The sequence below is a fragment of the Homo sapiens genome, chromosome 8 (genome assembly GCF_000001405.40).
Source record: "Homo sapiens chromosome 8, GRCh38.p14 Primary Assembly".
NCBI classification, from domain to species: Eukaryota; Metazoa; Chordata; class Mammalia; order Primates; family Hominidae; genus Homo; species Homo sapiens.
This window is the reverse complement of record NC_000008.11, coordinates 144316742-144330223: the sequence shown is the minus strand read 5'-3', so window position 1 is coordinate 144330223 and position 13482 is coordinate 144316742. Positions and strand designations below refer to the sequence as shown.

Genomic DNA, 13482 nt, shown 5'->3' with positions numbered 1-13482 from the left:
CCTGGGTGCCTTCGCTCTTCTCTCCCTGAAGGAGCTTTATGCTGTGATGGAAGGCCTGATAGCCACCTCAAGCCCTCTGAGATGCTGTTGCAGGAAATGGGGACAGTGGAGAGTTCGAGGTCTGGCCCTTTTCCTGTGGCCTGCTGCCCACATTCTGACCCCCAGGCTTCCCAGATATGCTCCCCCAGTGTCTGCGGATGCCTCCATGGATAGCTGGGTTGGACCGGTTCCAGGGAGGAGGTGCCCAGGGGGCAGAGAGGCTTCTGCAACCATCGCCCAAGGGCTCTAGACAGAATGAGTAGTGGAGGAGATAAGGGACAGGGACCCTTTGCCCAGCAATGTCCCCTGGTAACCAGGTAGGCAGGCATGAGCCGAGAGGCCCAAAGTCTTCGGGCACATACATTCAAACCAGGTCAGTCCTAGATCCAGGGCCAGCAAAGCTGCCCACACCCTAGCAGGGACAGGGGACAGACCTGCCCAGACTCCACTAGGGTGGAGAGCAGGGGAACCAGGTCTGCAGCATGTCATGGCCTGTGTGCCTGGCACTTGGAGGAGCTGTGGTGCAGGTGGGTGCTCTCTTTGGGAGAGCACTACCAGCAATGACAATGGCAGACAGCAATGGCCAGGAGGAAGGCTCCTAGCCTCACTCCTTCCAAAGGACTCCAACAGCGACTGGCTGTTTCTACTTCTCCAGGATTCTGATGCGTAGAGTGGGTGGAAGGATGGAGGTGGCCTCCCTGAGGCCTGGGATGAGCTCGACCCCCCAGTTCCTCCCAGCCACAGACACAAGTTTCCCTCTGAATGAGCAGCACAGGCCATAGACCACCACTGGCTGTGAACTCTCCTGGGACCCTTGCTTCTCACAGGCCTTCTTGGCCCACCCATGGCCCCTAGGCCCTGGGATCAGCCTGAGGCCCCAACCCACTTCCAGCCCTTTATTCCACTAGCCCTGGAAGGCAACTCGCTTCGGGCTTGGGCCCCCTCATTTGTTGCTGCCCCCAGCAGGGTGATCTGCATCATGCTTTCCTCGATGACCCAGCCATACACACCCTTGTCCCCAACCAACCTCACCTACCCTGACCATTCCCCTCACCCTAGATCCCAGGGTATAGGGCCTGTCTGGGCAGGGCTTCACCCACCTCTGGAGCTGCTGCCCCGCCACGCCCCCACCCCCGGTGGCAAAGCCCTTCCTTAATGGCCCGCCCACAGCCAGTGCTTTCCCCATTGGCTCCAAGCCTGGCTCTGCTCACCAGGCCCGACCCATCCTCCCTGGTGGTCCAGTCCACCCTCCCATTGTCTTTCTCCTGTGGCCACTTGCCGGCTTTGAGTTGGGACGCGACCACAGGTTGAGTCGTTGATCTCCTCTGCCTAGCATGAGGTGCTCCGTGGCCAGGTCCAGACCTCTCTGAGCTTGCTGTCAGTCCATACTCAGACAGGTCTGGGCCTACCTGGCCACAGAGTGTGTCTGCCAGCGACTGCATTCAACAAATGAATATTCTGAGAGACTGGGTAGGAGATGGGGCTGGTCCTGACCGACCAAGGCCCATGTGTGAGGGGCTCTTGGGTCCAGTGAGGGCGGCCCCACTCGGCAGGCTACACAAAGGGCATCTGCCAGGTAGCTCCAGCCTGCCTGATACCTGGTTGGCAGCAACCCACAGCGGCCTGTGGTGACAAGAATATGTCACCAGGGGGGCAACCAAGGGGGCAGCCCTGCTGGCCACTGTTGGTGGAGGTGGTGGAAGAGGACGGAGCTCAGAGGCGAGGCTGTGACCAGCCCACGGGAGAGGACCCCACCTCAGGAGGAGCACCTGTTTGCTTCCAGAGAAGTGCTGCTTGCCCCTGCTCACCCCAGAGGAATGAAGGTGTTTCTAGAGTCAGAGTCCTCAGTGAACCCTGGCATCCTGAGATCCAGGATGTTCTCACTCCATGCCCTGTGCAATATGCACACCAAGCCAAGGTGGGCCGCAACTGTGGCTGTTACAGTTGATTAGTTGCTTCATTTAACATACAAGATGTCTGGGGCAGTGGCTCATACCTGTAATCCCAGCACCTTCAGAGGCCGAGGTGGGAGGATTGCGTGAGGCCAGGAGTTCGAGACCAGCCTGGGCAGAATAGCGAGACCCCCATCTTTAGAAAAAATAACAACAGGCCAGGCGCGGTGGCTTGCGCCTATAATCCCAGCACTTTGGGAGGCCGAGGTGGGCGGATCACGAGGTCAGGAGATCGAGACCAGCCTGGCCAATATGGTGAAAGCCCGTCTCTACTAAAAACAGAAAAATTAGCTGGGCGTGGTGGCACGCGCCTGTAGTCCTGGCTACTCGGGAGGCTGAGGCAGGAGAATCGCTTGAACCCAGGAGGTGGAGGTTGCAGTGAGACGAGATCGCGCTACTGCACTCCAGCCTGGCGACAGAGTGAGACTGTCTCAAAAAAAGAAAAAAGAAAACAAAAAACAACAGGGCGGTTGCACAGGCCGTGCAAATGCACAGAAGCCTCTTGAGTCCCGGCGATCCAGCGGCCCAGACTTCTGACATCCTGGAGAGGCTGGCCCACGTTGGAAACTGGGAGGCCCTGAGAGTTGAGGGACGTGGAGCTCCTTGTGGAGAGAGTGGGTGGGCTGAGAAGACACCACCAAGGGGCCTGCGCCCTCGCCCTCGCCCTCGCCCTCCTCTCGCCGGGCTCTGCAGGCGGGGAGGTGGAGAGCCTGGGAGTCGCGTGCAAGGCAGGCGTCCCGGTGACGCAGGGCCTGGTGCATTTCTCCAGCTTGGTCTTCTGACCTGGCCCTTGTCTGACGTCCCCCTAAGGCGAAGAAAAGCAGGTTCCTGCCGGGGTAACCAGAGGGCTCGCGGAGCAGAAGCGCGCCAGGGACGTTACTGTAAGCTGCGTGCGCAGAAACCAACGCGCTGGGTGGCGGGCGACGCGAGCCGCCGCGGACACCGGCCCGGACAGCTGGACCGTGGCGCACTAGGCGCTTCCTAAATGATTGCCCGGAGTGACTCGCCGAGACCCCGTGTGTACACAAGTGGGACGAGGGGCGGGCGCACAGCGGCCAGGAAGTCGGGGCCCAGCGCACCCCTCAGCGGACCATCCCGCTCCGTGGGGCCGGACAGGACCCCGGGACCACGCGGGAGCGATGCAAGGTCCGTTCCCGCTGCGCGCACTTGCGGCCCGCAGCCCCGGCCCTGGGAGCTGCCACGGCTCCCAGGGTGCTCTGCGCCGGTGCGGCCGCGGCGACTACGACTCCCAGGGTGCTCTGCGCCGGCGCGCCCGCGGCGACTACGACTCCCAGGGTGCCCTGCGCCCCGTCAGCCTCTCCAGGCCCCGCCTCAGGTCGGCCGCGGACTACAAATGGACGAGAGAGGCGGCCGTCCATTAGTTAGCGGCTCCGGAGCAACGCAGCCGTTGTCCTTGAGGCCGACGGGCCCGACGCGGGCGGGTTGAACGCGCTGGTGAGGCGGTCACCCGGGCTACGGCGGCCGGCAGGGGGCAGTGGCGGCCGTTGTCTAGGGCCCGGAGGTGGGGCCGCGCGCCTCGGGCGCTACGAACCCGGCGGGCCCACGCTTGGCTGCGGCCGGGTGCGGGCTGAGGCCATGGGCGACCGCGGCAGCTCCCGGCGCCGGAGGACAGGGTCGCGGCCCTCGAGCCACGGCGGCGGCGGGCCTGCGGCGGCGGAAGAGGAGGTGCGGGACGCCGCTGCGGGCCCCGACGTGGGAGCCGCGGGGGACGCGCCAGCCCCGGCCCCCAACAAGGACGGAGACGCCGGCGTGGGCAGCGGCCACTGGGAGCTGAGGTAGCGGAGCGCCTGACCCCCTAACCTCTGACCCAAGGGCCCCGCGACTTTCCGGGGTTGGCCGAAGCGCGAGCTCCGAGTCCGAGAACATGGGCCCTGGGCTAAGCGGGGATCGGTGTGCCCTATGGGCCCTGTGGGGAAACTGAGGCTTGGGGAGAGTCACCTGACAAGGTCACTGGGTAGGGGCTCTGGAGCTGGCCTTGGCCAGGCAGAGGGGAGCCGGCAGGTGTCCCGCATCCAGATCCTCTTGGGTCTGTGCATCCTCAGGGGCTCCTGAGGAGCTTTTCGAGGGGCGGGCTGGTGGGGGCCCGGCCCTGGACAGTGTCCCCTTATATGGAAGGAGTCAGATAAGATCTGGGCAGTTTGTGGTGATAGGTTCCTTCTTGGTGCTATGAGCGGTGCCTTGCGGGTAGGAAAGGCTCCCAGAGGAGGGCTGGCCTGCCAGGGAGGGGGCCAGAGGAGCCCAGGCCTGTCCGAGGACAGGGGAATCAGCAGCTGCCCCGGACAAGGGGCAGTGTTAGAGGCGTTCTTGTCCTTGCAGACCCTTCTGAGAGTGGCTGCGTGGCCCATTCATTGCTCCAGTGGTTAGGCTGGCCTGGAGCCCTGCCGATGTTGCCAGAGCCAGCGTCTGTTGTAGGGACAGAGAGTTGGGTTCTGTGTTGGGACTTCCATCCTCCAGGTGGGGAGTGGGGTATGGGGGTGGTGGACACACCTGCAGGCGTGTGCCCTGCTCAGCTGGATGACTGACAGAGAGGGGTGGAGGGAGAGAACCATGGCCGATGGGAAGGACTTGGCCAGCCTGGGCATTGGCTTCCTCCACCAAGCTGGCCTTGAGCAATCCCCTTGCCACCCTCCATCCCCCCTTTATGGCCTTTACCCTGGCCCAGGGGCCCTCAGGGCTTTGTTTTAGAGAGCAGCTGAGGGCCTAGAGGTTATCAAGGCAGAAGTGGGCTGATTTTGGACATGTAGTTGGCAATGATTTGCTCTCTCAGTGAGCAAGAACAGAGCTTTCCTTCACGGGGCACCATGGGGAGGGGGTTGGGGGAGGGCAGGCACTGTCGTGGCCCTCAGGGTGCTCAGTTCATCTGGGAGATAAGATAACCTCAGCGAGAGTCAGGCATGGAGCAACATGGACAAAGGTCGGGCACGGAGGCCTTGAAGGGGCCGTGGGGAGGAGGGTGGCCCTCCTGAGAGGGGTGCTTGCCTGCTGTGGGCCTGGGGTGCTGGTGAGGGAGGCTGGCCTAGGCACCTCCTACCTGAAAAGGAGGTGTGGCTCCTGGAGTTACCCTCTCTCCAGGAGGCAGGGGGATGGCTACATGACCTGTGGAGGACGTGGGAATTGAGATTTCTTTTTTTTTCTTTTCTTTTTTTTTGAGACTAGTTTTGCTCTTGTTGCCCAGGCTGGAGTAAAATGGCACATTCTTGGCTCACTGCAACCTCTGCCTCCCAGGTTCAAGTGATTCTCCTGCCTCAGCCTCCAGAGTAGCTGGGATTAGAGGCGCCCACCACACCCGGCTAATTTTGTATTTTTAGTAGAGATGGGGTTTCTCCATGTTGGTCAGGCTGGTCTCGAACTCCTGAACTCAGGTGATCCACCTGCCTTGGCCTCCCAAAGTGCTGGGATTACAGGTGTGAGCCACCGCGCCCGGCCGGGAATTGAGATTTTTTTTAGTGTGAGATGAGGGTAGTCCCAGCTTTGGGCCAAGCCGCCACCTGGGGGTAGGCAGGGGAGAGCAGTCACCTTCTTGCTTTGCAAACCAGCAAGGCTTTCCTGTACTTCTGCTGGTGTGGGATGGGTGCAGAGCTCGTGGGAGAGGCCTGGTGAGTCCCTGTCCCTGCCGTGGAGGTCGGGTCTCCTTGGGAAGAGGGGCAGTAGATGGAGAGGTGAGGCCTTCATGGGGCTGGAGGCTGAGACCAAAAGTCTATCTGCTCCTGGGTCTCCAGGACTTGCAGGCTATGTGTGCTTGTCCCTCAGACCTAGGGATGCAGCAGGGCTCGGCCACTGGCTGTGGACACTGGGCTCTTCTCCCTGCTGTCTGCGTCAGGCCTTGCTCTGCCTGCCCTCCTGGGACTTGGCCTCTAGCGCACCCCCTTGTCAGCCTCACAGCCTCCCCTCCCTCCAGCTTCCTGCTGCTCTTGGCCCAGCCCAGCCTTTCCTCTCCCGCTTCCTCATTACTCCTTGAGCTCGGGCCTCCTCCCCTCACGGACACTTCCTGCTCACCTAGGGCTGGGCTCTGGGTGTGAGCTCCTTTCTTCCGGCCCCGTGGCAAGGTGAGGCTGTGAGGCAGGCAGGAGAGGGCACCCCTTTCTGCTCTGCTTGTGGCTCACTCCTGCCAGGCTCTTTGCACACACCCACCAGCCCTCTGCTCACAGGCACCCCAGTCGGGGCCATCCGGTTTCTGGCTTCTCCCAGGGTGTTTTGTCCCTGAGGTGTCCTTTCTGACTCTCCCTTTCTCTCTCCAGCAGGGTCTGCGAGGTGCAGGGAGCCTGCCCCAACCATCTTGAACCCAGGCCCAGCCCAGAGGCCAGAGTGGAGGAGGCGGCAGTGAGCAGAGCTGGACTCTGCCCCCTCCTCATTGTGCTTGGCCCTGGAGCTGCACTGTGTGGGCCCCAAGTGTGGGACTCACTGGGACCTGTGCCTTTGGGCACACTTTGAACCTGGAGACAGGGTGGCGGGTGGGCATGTGCCAAGGTCTCAGTGTTGCCGTGAGACTGAGAGGATCCTGCTGGCTGGGTGGGCCTGGGGGCTGCAGGAGGGAGGGCAGGCTGCTCCGAGTCTTCTTGGACTAGGGAGTGGGTGTAGGGACAGCTGGAAGGTGCAGAGGCTTGGGCAGATCCTCCAGTCAGTGAGAGGGTGATAAAGGTGCTCTAGGCACAGGGGCAGATCCCACCTCCCCATGCCGTTCCATGCAGCCTGCCCTGTAGCCCACATGCTGCTGGCCGCACTGACTGCTTGGAGCTCTGTGGGCACTGGTGGACTGGGGCTTCCTCCTCATGGGGGCCTGTGAGGGGTAGGGGTAGCGCAGTGGGGGTGCTGCCTCTGGGTGGGGCTGGTCAGGCCTGTGAAGGGCCTGAGGTGAGGCTGTGGCTGGGTTGAGGAAGGCCTTGGAAGCCTGTCAAGGGGCCCCTGAGAAAGCTTGTGTAGGATTGTCTGCAGTGAGCTTTGGGAAGCACCACCCTTTCCCGACTCCTGTTTTCATCTTGGAGATGGGCATGGATAAAGCCAGCATGGTGTCCTTGGTGGCTCAAAGGGGGCAGGGGTCATACTGCTGTGAAACAGCTGTGGTTGGTAGGTCGTGGTACAAGAAGGCCAACCCTGAGGCTTGGGATTGTTCTGCTGAAAACAAATGGGCTCGAACTTGGGGAAGAGGGGGCAGTGGAGAGGCCCCCAGACAGACAGCCCAGAGAGGCTGCTGGGCAGTTGGGCCTCGTGCCCCTGCTCCCGTCACGGTGCTGGGGCTCTGGCGGTGTCTACACCCAGCCTCCTGGTTGTGGGCAGGCAGTGAGTGGAGTAGGCTGGGGAGATGAGCCAAGGGCGGTGGTCAGTTGGGAAGACAGCTGCCAACTTGGGGAGGAGGGAGGCTCTGGTGGAGACCACAGCCTCACTGCATGGCCCAGGATGGACCTGGTGGGTGGATGCAGGGCGCTCAGGCTGGAGCTGGGAGAGGCAGGGGCTGGGTGGAGCTGCCTGCCCCTGTGTTCCAGTCTAGATGGGCAGAGGGAAAGGTGTGAGCATCCTCCCTGCCTGGGGGTCTTGGGGACTAGTGTAGACTTGTCCAGGAACTGTGTAGGTGTAGATGGGGCATGTGTTGCACCAACCTTGGTCTTGGGGAGCAAAGGTTGGGCTTGTTGGCATTGCCTCTCGGCCTCCCTGGCCCTTTGCCTCCTGGGCAGGGCCGTCTGACTGCCGACCCCAATCCTAGCCAGCTTGCCTTGGGTGCCCTGAGGGCGTCTGCCTCATGGGGCTCCTGCCATGGCTCTCAGGCCCACTCTCCCTGCCTAGGGGCTCTGAGGGGCAGATGTGCGTGTGCGGGAGGGAAAGGGAGGCTCTGGCCTCTCCTCTTACAAAGTTGAGGACTTGCTCAATGCTGTGTGTGGTGTCCCAGTGGCACGGCAGATGGGGGGTGAGGCGGGCCTGCAGCTAGTGTATATGAGCCAGCACTGCTTCCTAGGACGTGTGGGGGCCTGGCCAAGCTCTTGCTGTCCTTGTCCTAGCTATATGGCAGTCCCTCTATTGGGCTGGGTGCCCTCTTCCACCTGTGCAGTATGCTGAGGACCAGGCAGGGTCTGCCTGTGCCCCTCCAGCGCTGGTTGGGAGATCATGGGTGGGTGCCTGCCTCTGTTGGAAGCCTCTCAGCCAGCAGGCACCTAGCCCCGGGTGGGTTCCTTTCAGCCCCCTCAGCCTGGGCACACATCACAAACAAGTGGAGGCTACACCGGCACACGAGGGCTGGATCCCTGCCTCTGGGAAAGTGCATGTCAGGCTGGTGTGTGGCTGGCGCCTGGCCTGCCTTTGCCAGTTTGAGCCTGCACGTCCAAGTGTGGGGACCCCTTAGCTCCCGGGTGCTGGGATGGGCCAACTGAATAGGGTGGACTCAACCCTCACCACTTGGTCCCCACAGTGCTGGGCAGTGCCCCCTGGTCCATCCCCAGGTTGGACCCTGCTTGTGGCCCCAGTGCTAGTCCACAGCCAGAGTACATGGCAGTGGCCAGAGGCCTCTGGAGAGTGAGGCCTGGAGTGTCCAAGCTCCATGTAGGTCCAGTCCGGGCAGGGCCAGCTGGGCTTGCTTCTGACCCTGACATGCTCGTCCCGCTGCCTGGAGGTGCAGGCTCTGGGGGTCCGGAGAGCTTTGCCCACTGTAGGTCTTGAGGCCACAGTGTGGCTCTGCCTGGCTTCTCCTCCTGGTTGTAAATAAGGAGTGGGGCCTGAGGGCAGACGAGGACACTGGGGTGGGGGCCTGGATCCTGCGGGGGTGGCGCTGCCCTGCTGGTGCCCACTCAGGGGGTGCTTGTGTTGTGCTCTGTCAGGTGCCATCGCCTGCAGGATTCTTTATTCAGCTCTGACAGTGGCTTCAGCAACTACCGTGGCATCCTGAACTGGTGTGTGGTGATGCTGGTGAGTGGGACATGGTGTCGGGAGCGGGTCTAGGTCCAGGTGGGGCTCTGTCCCAGGCTGGCCTTTGCCTGAGAACAGGCTCTGTCACCCAGGGTGTCCAGGCTGGAGCCCCTGTGGGCTGGGGTGTGTGGAGCAGGCTGCACCTCCATGTGGCTGCCAGCACTGGACTGTTGGGGAGGGGAGTGGCAGTGGCTGCCCCTGCTGTGGTCACTTGGGTGCCCATGCACCACATACTTGCTGCTTCCCATTGGATCCCAGGAGAGCCCTGCAGATGTGGTGTGGGCGTGGGGAGGCCGAACAGTGCCTGGCTGGAGCCTGTGTGTTGTGAGCTGGGCCTGAGGGGTGCAGGGCCTCCAGGGAGGGCAGGGTGGAGGGGGTCTTGCCCTGGGCTGGTGGGAGAGTGGACTGCATGCTCTGTGGACACAAGGCCTCTCTGGCAGGGGATGTGAGAAGAGCTTCCTGTGCTACGCCACATGGCCTCTGTGGGTATGGAGCCCTGCAGGCCTGGCCACCACTCTGCAGTCCTCCTGGCCCCTTCCCTCAGCTGTGGGTCCTAGGAGCCCCCCAGGAAGGTGATTAGATGGAGCCCTGTGCCACGTCCAAGGCCTGCTACCTCTGGGCCTGGTTCCCACTGGCACTTCGTGGGGTGGGGCTGCCAGCCCCACCCCAGAAGTAGTTGGAGTCTAGGGCTCAAAGGGGCACCTGCAGGGCAGGTCGGGGACAAGGGCTATCTGGGCCCAGCCTCCCCAACTCAGGGCTGATGTGGCTCGAGGCCTTTGACCTTCACCCAGGCGTGTCTATCTCTGGCCTTGGGTGCTGCTCCTGTGGCTACCCACGTGGAAGGGGCTCCACGCACATCCACATCCCCCACCGCCCATGGTCCTAGAAGGTTCCCTGGGGGTGGCCAGCTGTGGAGGCCCACGAGTCCTGGTGGCTGAGAAGCTGGCCAGGCAGGAGGACAGTGGGCCCAGCGCCAGCCCAGCACTCAGGAGACGCAGCCCATTCCTGGCCCAGGTTGGGCCTTGTCCAGCCCAGGCAGCACTGTGTATTCTCCCCAACCCCTTGGGCCTGCCTGGCCCTTTGGCCCAGCCCTGAAGCCTTTTCCCTGCTTTGGCTCCCCCATGCCCCCACCCCAGGCATGTATCCCGCTCTGGGCTGCTTGTTGCATTCCTTCTGTGGCCTGGGCCTGGAGGTGGGTACCGTCCATTGGCAGCTTTGGCTTCTGCCTGCTGTCAGCCCTCGGGAGAGGCCAGTGACAGTGTGGGCCACGTGTCCATGCAGAAGGCCTGTGTGTCAGCCCTGCGGCCGGGGGAGGCGGGGCAGTAGCCCTTGTGTCTCTGAAGCAGTCTTCTCTCTCATGAAGCCTTCCCTGACCACCCAGGCAAGACACCCTCAGTGTTCCCTTGCCAGCGACCCTTTTCCCCAGCACCAGTTCACTACCGCATGAGGCCCGAGCTCCGGGTGGTCAGCCAGGTCTGCGGCATTGGGGCCCAGCTTAATGGAGGTGTTGGTAGTGCTTGTAAGATGGAGGAGGAGGTTCCTGTCCTTGCAGAGGGAGGCCAAGCACCCAACTCCAGGCTCGTCCCAAGAGCCTTATTCCATGGGGGCTCAGTCCTGGGAAGTTGCTTTGGAGCCAAGTGTCCAAGGCTTAGAGGGCGGCAGGAAGCAGAAGAGGCAGGCGGGGCACAAGCCCTGGGAAGCACTCCAGGCCCAGCCCCCCTTGCGACACAGCTGGACACTGCTCCTGCAGAGAAAGAGTAGACAACTCCCCCTCTTCAGCCTTGGCCACCAGTAGGGACTGGTTCCTTGGGGCTCAGCCGTGGGCAGGCCTCCCTGGGCAGGCCTGTATTCTGGGGCTGTCTCTGGGGTGTGGTTGGCTGTGGGAGCCTTGGGTCCCTCACTGGCTCGGCTCAGCAGGAGGGATGTGAGCAGATCAGCAGCTGGTCTTTCTGCTCCTGAAGACCCAGGCGTCTGGCAGGGTTGGTTGGTCTGGCCGGTTGGTTCCCTCCATGTGGGACCGTCTGGTGTGATGGGGACAGGGAGGGACTTCCCCTTACCCAGCACTGGTGTTGGCTGAGGTGGGTGCTGAGTCTCAGAGCTTGGCATGGAGACCAGACAGGGCTGGGTCTGCAAGCCTGAGGCTGCCGCCCTGAGCTCGGGCTGGGACGTGCCCAGAGGTGTTGGGAGGATCTGGGGTGAGTACCCTGTGGCCAGGACTAAAGGGGCTGCACCCTCCTGTCCATCCCTCGCAGATCTTGAGCAATGCCCGGTTATTTCTGGAGAACCTCATCAAGTGAGTGCCTTTGCCAGGTCCCACCCCTGCCCCACCCATGGCCTGTCCAGGCCCCGCCCCACAGCCCCACCTGCCACCCACTCAGACCCCCATCCCTCCACCCCCAGGTATGGCATCCTGGTGGACCCCATCCAGGTGGTTTCTCTGTTCCTGAAGGATCCCTATAGCTGGCCCGCCCCATGCCTGGTTATTGGTGAGCTGGGCTCTGAGGAGGGCCTCGGGTGGGGATCAGGCTGACGTGGCCCTAAACCTGCCCCTTGGTGCTTCTGTCCACAGCGGCCAATGTCTTTGCTGTGGCTGCATTCCAGGTTGAGAAGCGCCTGGCGGTGGTAAGCAGTGCCCCTCACCTCCGTGTGTGCTCACCCTGCTGTGTGCGCTCCTGGGAGGAGCTGCTCCCCAGGCCTGGCAGCCCTCTCCCAGGCAATGGGAGCCCTGGTTGAGTGCTCTGCTCCCCACTCCAGGGTGCCCTGACGGAGCAGGCGGGACTGCTGCTGCACGTGGCCAACCTGGCCACCATTCTGTGTTTCCCAGCGGCTGTGGTCTTACTGGTTGAGTCTATCACTCCAGGTGCGCCCCCATCCCACCCTGCCCATCTGTCTCGGGCCAGCCACGGGCATGGCCTCCGGCTGTGGCGCTGTGGAGGCCTGAGTCCACCTCTCCTGCAGTGGGCTCCCTGCTGGCGCTGATGGCGCACACCATCCTCTTCCTCAAGCTCTTCTCCTACCGCGACGTCAACTCATGGTGCCGCAGGGCCAGGGCCAAGGCTGGTGAGGGGCTGCCAGGGGCTGGGGCTGCCTGCTGGGGGGCTGGGCAGCAGCAGGGCCCCACCAGCCCCCTCCCACTCTGCTGTGCTCGTAGCCTCTGCAGGGAAGAAGGCCAGCAGTGCTGCTGCCCCGCACACCGTGAGCTACCCGGACAATCTGACCTACCGCGGTGAGGACCTCTGTGGGCCTGAGGTGCGGGGGACAGGCTGGGCCTGTTCTGGTACCAACCCCCCATTCCCATTCCAGATCTCTACTACTTCCTCTTCGCCCCCACCTTGTGCTACGAGCTCAACTTTCCCCGCTCTCCCCGCATCCGGAAGCGCTTTCTGCTGCGACGGATCCTTGAGATGGTGAGGTTGGGGGCTGGGGGCAGCCACTGGAGGCTAGGGGGCCTTCTGGCTAGCCAGGGCCTCAGCTGGCTGCTCTCTGTTTCCCCCCCAGCTGTTCTTCACCCAGCTCCAGGTGGGGCTGATCCAGCAGGTAAGTGGGGTAGGGCAGGGTTGGGTGTAGCTGGGCATGGCTGGGAGCTGACGTGGTGCCCTCCTTTGCAGTGGATGGTCCCCACCATCCAGAACTCCATGAAGCCCTTCAAGGTGAGTGGCTCAGGTGCTCTTGCAGCTGGGGTGGCTGGGGAGTGACCAGGAGCATGGCTAGCTGAAGGGCTTGTTTCTGCAGGACATGGACTACTCACGCATCATCGAGCGCCTCCTGAAGCTGGCGGTGAGTGCGGACAGGTGGCGCATGCACAGGACAGGAGGGGACAGTGGCATGTGGGGGAAGGTTCTAGAACTTGGTGCCCACCCCCACCTCCCTGCCAGGTCCCCAATCACCTCATCTGGCTCATCTTCTTCTACTGGCTCTTCCACTCCTGCCTGAATGCCGTGGCTGAGCTCATGCAGTTTGGAGACCGGGAGTTCTACCGGGACTGGTGGTGAGTGTCCCTGGGGTGTCCCTGGGGGCTGGGATGGGCCATGGTGTGCTCTGATCCCCCTGTGGTCTCTTGGCCCCCAGGAACTCCGAGTCTGTCACCTACTTCTGGCAGAACTGGAACATCCCTGTGCACAAGTGGTGCATCAGGTAGGTGGGGTGTGTGTGTGTGTGATGTGGAACATGGCTGTGAACCTGAACCGCTTTCCATGCCCCCTCCTCTGCAGACACTTCTACAAGCCCATGCTTCGACGGGGCAGCAGCAAGTGGATGGCCAGGACAGGGGTGTTCCTGGCCTCGGCCTTCTTCCACGAGGTCAGTGCTCTGGGGGGCATCTTGCCTCATCCCTGGGCAGGGGTATGCCCACAGCAGGGACGGCTGACACCCCACTCCCTGGCATCCTCTCTCCCTCCCATCTCAGTACCTGGTGAGCGTCCCTCTGCGAATGTTCCGCCTCTGGGCGTTCACGGGCATGATGGCTCAGGTGAGTGACCCCCACGTGGCCTCCTCACTCGCCCAGTTACCCCGCACCTGAACCCCTCGGCTGACCCTCCCCATGCCCAGGGACCCTGAAGCCCCCAGCCCTGTGGTCACC

At 62.7% G+C, this 13482-nt stretch overlaps 1 protein-coding gene and 1 non-coding gene across 6 annotated transcripts in view, besides 5 other annotated features; both read left to right on the top strand.

Annotated features, from left to right (window-relative positions):
* Nucleotides 2946–3665: a silencer, noted in NCBI's record as "silent region_19673". NCBI's record gives its function as "represses an Ori minimal core promoter by ATAC-STARR-seq in GM12878 lymphoblastoid cells {active_cell/tissue: GM12878}" and the evidence as "EXISTENCE:reporter gene assay evidence [ECO:0000049][PMID:35858748]".
* Nucleotides 3372–13482, top strand: part of DGAT1 (diacylglycerol O-acyltransferase 1) — a 12269-nt gene continuing 2158 nt past the window's right edge. The window contains exons 1-17 of one of the 5 annotated variants that reach the window (XM_047422389.1): nucleotides 5996–6058; nucleotides 6251–6263; nucleotides 8816–8903; nucleotides 11156–11196; nucleotides 11304–11389; nucleotides 11473–11525; nucleotides 11658–11763; nucleotides 11862–11963; nucleotides 12055–12129; nucleotides 12207–12310; nucleotides 12402–12440; nucleotides 12512–12553; nucleotides 12636–12680; nucleotides 12779–12891; nucleotides 12972–13037; nucleotides 13115–13202; nucleotides 13309–13371. In XM_047422389.1, the coding sequence (XP_047278345.1) occupies nucleotides 8898–8903; nucleotides 11156–11196; nucleotides 11304–11389; nucleotides 11473–11525; nucleotides 11658–11763; nucleotides 11862–11963; nucleotides 12055–12129; nucleotides 12207–12310; nucleotides 12402–12440; nucleotides 12512–12553; nucleotides 12636–12680; nucleotides 12779–12891; nucleotides 12972–13037; nucleotides 13115–13202; nucleotides 13309–13371 (1029 nt within the window). In that variant the 5' untranslated portion in view covers nucleotides 5996–6058; nucleotides 6251–6263; nucleotides 8816–8897. Of the gene's footprint in view, nucleotides 3788–4842; nucleotides 4927–4971; nucleotides 5609–5995; nucleotides 6218–6250; nucleotides 6264–8815; nucleotides 8904–11155; nucleotides 11197–11303; nucleotides 11390–11472; nucleotides 11526–11657; nucleotides 11764–11861; nucleotides 11964–12054; nucleotides 12130–12206; nucleotides 12311–12401; nucleotides 12441–12511; nucleotides 12554–12635; nucleotides 12681–12778; nucleotides 12892–12971; nucleotides 13038–13114; nucleotides 13203–13308; nucleotides 13372–13482 lie in introns of those variants that run through there. The other 4 variants (NM_012079.6, XM_047422387.1, XM_011517356.4 and 1 more) reach the window with 4 other exon arrangements.
* Nucleotides 3676–3745: a silencer, noted in NCBI's record as "silent region_19672". NCBI's record gives its function as "represses an Ori minimal core promoter by ATAC-STARR-seq in GM12878 lymphoblastoid cells {active_cell/tissue: GM12878}" and the evidence as "EXISTENCE:reporter gene assay evidence [ECO:0000049][PMID:35858748]".
* Nucleotides 6237–6296: an enhancer, noted in NCBI's record as "active region_28094". NCBI's record gives its function as "activates an Ori minimal core promoter by ATAC-STARR-seq in GM12878 lymphoblastoid cells {active_cell/tissue: GM12878}" and the evidence as "EXISTENCE:reporter gene assay evidence [ECO:0000049][PMID:35858748]".
* Nucleotides 9452–10294: an enhancer, noted in NCBI's record as "H3K4me1 hESC enhancer chr8:145543593-145544435 (GRCh37/hg19 assembly coordinates)". NCBI's record gives its function as "activates a minimal SCP1, AML or CMV promoter by ChIP-STARR-seq in naive H9 embryonic stem cells {active_cell/tissue: H9 hESC(naive)}" and the evidence as "EXISTENCE:reporter gene assay evidence [ECO:0000049][PMID:30033119]".
* Nucleotides 12711–12960: an enhancer, noted in NCBI's record as "active region_28093". NCBI's record gives its function as "activates an Ori minimal core promoter by ATAC-STARR-seq in GM12878 lymphoblastoid cells {active_cell/tissue: GM12878}" and the evidence as "EXISTENCE:reporter gene assay evidence [ECO:0000049][PMID:35858748]".
* Nucleotides 12909–12978, top strand: MIR6848 (microRNA 6848). Its single transcript, NR_106907.1, has one exon. It is a non-coding gene; the product is annotated as a microRNA 6848 (primary transcript).